The sequence below is a fragment of the Homo sapiens genome, chromosome 11 (genome assembly GCF_000001405.40).
Source record: "Homo sapiens chromosome 11, GRCh38.p14 Primary Assembly".
NCBI lineage: Eukaryota > Metazoa > Chordata > Mammalia > Primates > Hominidae > Homo > Homo sapiens.
This window is the reverse complement of record NC_000011.10, coordinates 112429607-112435601: the sequence shown is the minus strand read 5'-3', so window position 1 is coordinate 112435601 and position 5995 is coordinate 112429607.

Genomic DNA, 5995 nt, shown 5'->3' with positions numbered 1-5995 from the left:
TAAAATCCAAGCTTTTAGTTTACCTATCACCCAAATACTGATCATTGTACCCAGTAGGTAATTTTTCAACCCTTTCAACCTTCACTCCCGCTTCCCACTTCTCACCTTTGGAGTCTCCAATGTCTATTATTCCACTCTGTATGTTCATATGTACCAATGTTTAGCTCCCATTTATAAGTGAGAACATGCAGTATTTGACTTTCTGTTTTTGAATTATTTCATTTAGGATAATGTCACCCGGTTCTATCTATGTTGGTGCAAAAGACATGATTTTATTCTTTCTTGTGGCTGAGTAGTATTCCATGGAGTATATGTATATACCACATTGTCTTTATCCAGTCCTCCACTTAAGGACACTTAGGTTGATTCCATATCCTTGCTATTGTGAGTAAACATATGAGTGCAGGTATATTCTTGATATAGTGATTTCCTTCCCTTTGGGTATATACCCAGCAGGGAGATTGCTGGATCATATGGTAGTTCTATTTTGAGTTCTTTGGGAAATCTCCATACTGTTTTCCATAAAGGTTGTACTAATTTATATTCCCACCAACAGTGGGAATGTAACACTTAGGTTGATGAAGACTTAGGTTGATGTTACATCTTGGTTATTATGAATGAATAGTACTGCAATAAACATGGGAGTGCAGATATACTTTGATATACTGATTTCCTATCTGTTAGATATATACCTATATACCCAGCAGTGGGATTGCTGAATCTTATGGTAGTTCTATTTTATTTTGTAATCCCATTTGTATATTTTGCTTTAGTTGCCTGTGTTTTTGAGGTCTTATCCAAGAAATCTTTGCCTGTTTTCAAAAGAAAACATACAAGTAGCCAAGAAACACATGAAAAAGTGCTCAACATCACTAATTATCACAGAAATGCAAATTAAAACCATAAGCAACACCATCTTATACCAGGAAGAACAGCTATTACTAAAAAGTCTAAAAACAACAGATGTTGGCAAGGATTCAGAGAAAAGGGAATGCTTATACACTTCACATTCCCACTGCTGGCATCAGGTCAGTGCCCCTCTGGGATGGAGATCCCAGAGGAAGGAGCAGGCAGCCATCTTTACTGTTCTGCAGCCTCCACTGGTAACACTTCCAGGTGCGAGAAGGACCCAGGCAAATAGGGTCAGAGTGGACCCCCAGCAAATTGTAGCAGCCCTACAGAAGAGGGGCCTGACTGTTGAAAGAAAAACAAACAAGCAGAAAGCAACAACCACAACAGCTCCAAAAGTTCCCACCAAAACCCCATCCAAAGGACAGCAGCCTCAAAGATTGAAACTACATAAACTCATGAAGATGAGAAAGAATTAACAAAAAACCCTGAAAACTCAAAAAGCCAGAGTGCCTCTTCTCCTCCAAATGATTGCAACACCTCTCCAGCAAGGGCACAGAACTGGGAAGAGACTGAGATGGATGAATTGACAGAAGCAGACTTCAGAAGGTAGATAATAACAAACTTCGATGAGCTAAAGGAACATGTTCTAACCCAATGCAAAGAAGCTAAGGACCATGATAAAACGTTACAGGAGCTGTTCACCAGTTTAGAGAGGAATATAAATGACTTGATGGAGCTGAAAAACACAACACGAGAACTTCACAATGCAACCATAAGTATCAACAACTGAATAGACCAAGTAGAGGAAAGAATTTCAGAGCTTGAAGACTACCCTGCTGAAATAAAACAGCCAGACAAGATTAGGAAAAAAAAGAATGAAAAGGAATAAACAAAACCTCCAAGAATGATGGGATTATGTAAAAAGACCAAACCTGCTACTGATTGGGGTACCTGAAAGAGACAGGAAGAATGGAAACTAGTTGAAAAACATACTTCAGGATATCATCCAGGAGGACTTCCCCAACCTAGAAAGACAAGCCAACATTCAAATTCAGGAAGTACAGAGAACCCCAGTAAGACACTCCATGAGAAGATCAACCCCAAGACATATAGTCATCAGGTTCTTCAACATCAGAATGAAAAAAATGTTAAGGTCAGCCAGAGAGAAAGGCCGGGTCACCTACAAAGGGAAGCCCATCAGACTAACAGTGGATCTCTCAGCAGAAACCCTACAAGCCAAAAGAGATTGGGGGCCAATATTTAACATTCTTAAAGAAAAGAATTTCCAGCTCAGAATTTGAAGAAACTAAATTTCATAAGCAAAGAAGAAATAAAATCCTTTCAGACAAGCAAATGCTAAGGGAATTTGTCACTCCCAGGCCTGCCTTTCAAGAGCTCCTGAAGGAAGCACTAAATGTGAAAAGGAAAAAACATTACCAGCCACTACAAAAACACAGTAAAGTACAAAGACCAATAAAGAAAGTACAAAGTACAAAGACTATGAAGCAACTATATCAAGTCTATAAAATAACCAGCTAGCATCATCATGACAGGATCGAATTCACACATAACAATATTAACCTTAAATGTAAATGGGCTAAATGCCCCAAGTAAGAGACACAGAATGGCAAGCTGGATAAAGAGTCAAGACTCATCAGCATGATGTATTCAAAAGACCCACCTCTCGTGCAAAGACACACATAGGCTCAAAATAAAGGGATGGAGGAAAATTTACCAAACAAATGGAAAGCAGAAAAAAAGTAGCAGTTGCAATCCTAGTTTCTGACAAAATAGACTTTAAACCAACACAAATCAAGAAAGACAAAGAAGGACATTATATAATGGTAAAGGGTTCAATTCAACAAGAAGAGCTAACTATCCTAAATATATATACACCCAATACAGAAGCACCCTGATTCATAAAATGAGTCCTTAGAGACCTTCAAAGAGACTTTGAATACCACACAATAACAGTGGGAGACTTTAACACCCCACTGTCAATATTAAGTGGATCATCAAGACAGAAAATTAACAAGGATATTCAGGACTTGTACTCAGCTCTGGATCAAGTGAATCCAACAGATATCTACAAAACGTGCCACTTCAAAACAACAGAATATACATTCTTCTCAGTGCCACACGGCACTTACTCTAAAATCGATCACATAATTGGAAGTAAAACACTCCTTAGCAAATGCAAAAGAACTGAAACCATAACAGTCTCTCAGACCACAGAGCAATCAAGCCAGAACTCAGGATTAAGAAACTCACCCAAAACCACACAACTACATGGAAATTGAACAACCTGCTCCTGAATGACTCCTGTGTGAATAATGAAATTAAAGCAAAAATCAAGAAGTTCTTTAAAACCAATGAGAACAAAGAGACAATGTACCAGAATCTCTGGGACACAACTAAAGCAGTGTTAACAGGGAAATTTACAGCACTAAATGCCCCCATCAAAAAGTTAGAAAGATCTCAAATCAACACCCTAACATCACAGCTAAGAGAGCTAGAGAACCAAGAGCAAACAAACCCCAAAGCTAGCAGAAGACAAGAAATAACTAAGATCAGGGCAGAAATGAAGGAGATAGAGACAGGAAAACCCCTTCAAAAAATCAACAAATCAGCCATGTGCAGTGGCTTAAGCCTGTAATCCTAGCACTTTGGGAGGCTGAGGCGGGCGGATCACGAAGTCAGGAGTTTGAGACCATCCTGGCCAATATGGTGAAATCCTATCTCTACTAAAAATACAAAAATTAGCTGGGTGTGGTGGTGCACACCTGTAGTCTCAGCTACTCGGGAGGCTGAGGCAGGAGAATCACTTGAAGCTGGGAGGCAGAAGTTGCAGTGAGCCAAGATCGTGCCACTGCACTCCAGCCTGGGTGATAGAGCGAGACTCCCTCTCAAAAAAAAAAAAAAAAAAATCAACAAATCCAGGAGCTGGTTTTCTGAAAAAACTGATAAACTAGATAGGCCACTAGCTAGCCTAACAAAGGAGAAAAGAGAGAAGAATCAAATAGACACAATAAAAAATGATAAGGGGGATATCACCACTGTCCCCACAAAAATACAACCATCAGAGAATACTATAAACACCTCTATGCATATAAACTAGAAAATCTAGAAGAAATGGATGAATTCCTGGACACATACACCTTCCCAAGACTAAACCAGGAAGAAGTTGAAACACTGAATAGACCAATAACAAGTTCTGAAATTGATGCAGTAATAAATAGCCTACCAACCAAAAAAAAAGCCCAGGATCAGATGGATTTACATCTGAATTCTACCAGAGGTACAAAGAGGAGCTTGTACCATTTCTTCTGAAACTATTTCAAACAATTGAAAAGGAGGGACTTCTCCGTAACTAATTTTATGAGGCCAGAATCATCCTGATACCAAAACCTGGCAGAGGTACAACAAAAAAAGAAAACTTCAGGCCAACATCCCTAATGAACATTGATGCAAAAATCCTCAATAAAATACTAGCAAACTGTATCCAGCAGCACACCATAAAGCCTATCCACCATGATCAAGTTGGCTTTATCCCCAGGATGCAAGGCTTGTTCAACATATGCAAATCAATAAATGTAATTCATCACATACACCGAACTAAAGACAAAAACCACATGATTATTTCAATAGACACAGAAAAGGCCTTTGATAAAATTCAACATCCCTTCATGTTAAAAACTCTCAATAAACTAGGTATTGTTGGAAGATACCTCAAAATAATTCTAAGAGTCATTTATAACAAACCTACAGCCAATATACCGAGCGGGCAAAACCTGGAAGCATTCTTCTTGTAAACCGGCACAAGACAAGGATGCCCTCTCTCACCGTTCCTATTTGACATAGTATTGGAAGTTCTGACCAGAGCAATCAGGAAAGAGAAAGAAATAAAGCATATTCAAATAGGAAGAGAGGAAGTCAAACTATCTCTGCTTGCAGATGACATGATCTTATATCTAGAAAACTCCATTATCTCAGCCCAAAAGCTTCTTAAGCTGATAAGCAACTTCAGCAAAGTCTCAGGATACAAAACCAATGTGCAAAAATCACAAGCATTCCTATACATCAACAATAAACAAGCAGAGAACCAAATCATGAATGAACACCCATTCACAATTGCTACAAAGAAAATAAAATACCTAGGAAGACAGTTAACAAGGAATGTGAAGGACCTCTTCAAGGAGAACTACAAACCACTGCTCAAGGAAATAAGAGAGAACACAAACAAAGGGAAAAACATTCCATGGATAGGAAGAATCAATATTGTGAAAATGGCCATACTGCCCAAAGTAACTTACAGATACAATGCTATTCCCATTAAACTACCATTGTCATTCTTCACAGAATTAGAAAAAACTACTTTAAAATTCATGTGAAACCAAAAAAGAGCCTGTATAGCCAAGACAATCCTAAGCAAAAAGAACAAAGCTGGAGGCATCACACTACCTGACTTCAAACTATACTGTAAGGCTATAGTAACAAAAGCATTATGATACTGGTATAAAAACAGACACATAGACCGATGGAACAGAATAGAAATCTCAGAAGTAAGACCACACATCTACACTATCTGCTCTTCAACAAACCTGATAGCAATAAGCTATAGGAAAGGGTTCCCTATTTAATAAATGGTGGTTGGAAGAAATATCTAGCCATATGCAGAAAATTGAAACTGGACCCCTTCCTTACACCTTATACAAAAATTAACTCAAGATGGATCCAAGACTTAAATACAAAACCCCAAACTATAAAAACCCCAGAAGAAAATCTAGGCAATACCATTCAGGACATAGTCACAGGCAAATATTTCATAACAAAAACATCAAAAGCAATTGCAAAAAAAGCAAAAATTGATAAATTGGATCTAATTAAACTAAAGAGCTTCTGCACAGCAAAAGAAACTATCATCAGAGTGAACAGGCAGCCTACAGAATGGGAGAAAATTTTTGCAATATATCCATCTGACAAAGGGCTAATACTCAGAATCCACAAGAAACGTAAACAAACTTACAAGAAAAAAACAACCCCATTAAAGAGTGGGCAAAAGACATGAACAGACACTTCTCAAAAGAAGACATTTATTCAGCCAACAAACATGAAAAAAAGCTCAACATCACTGATCATTACA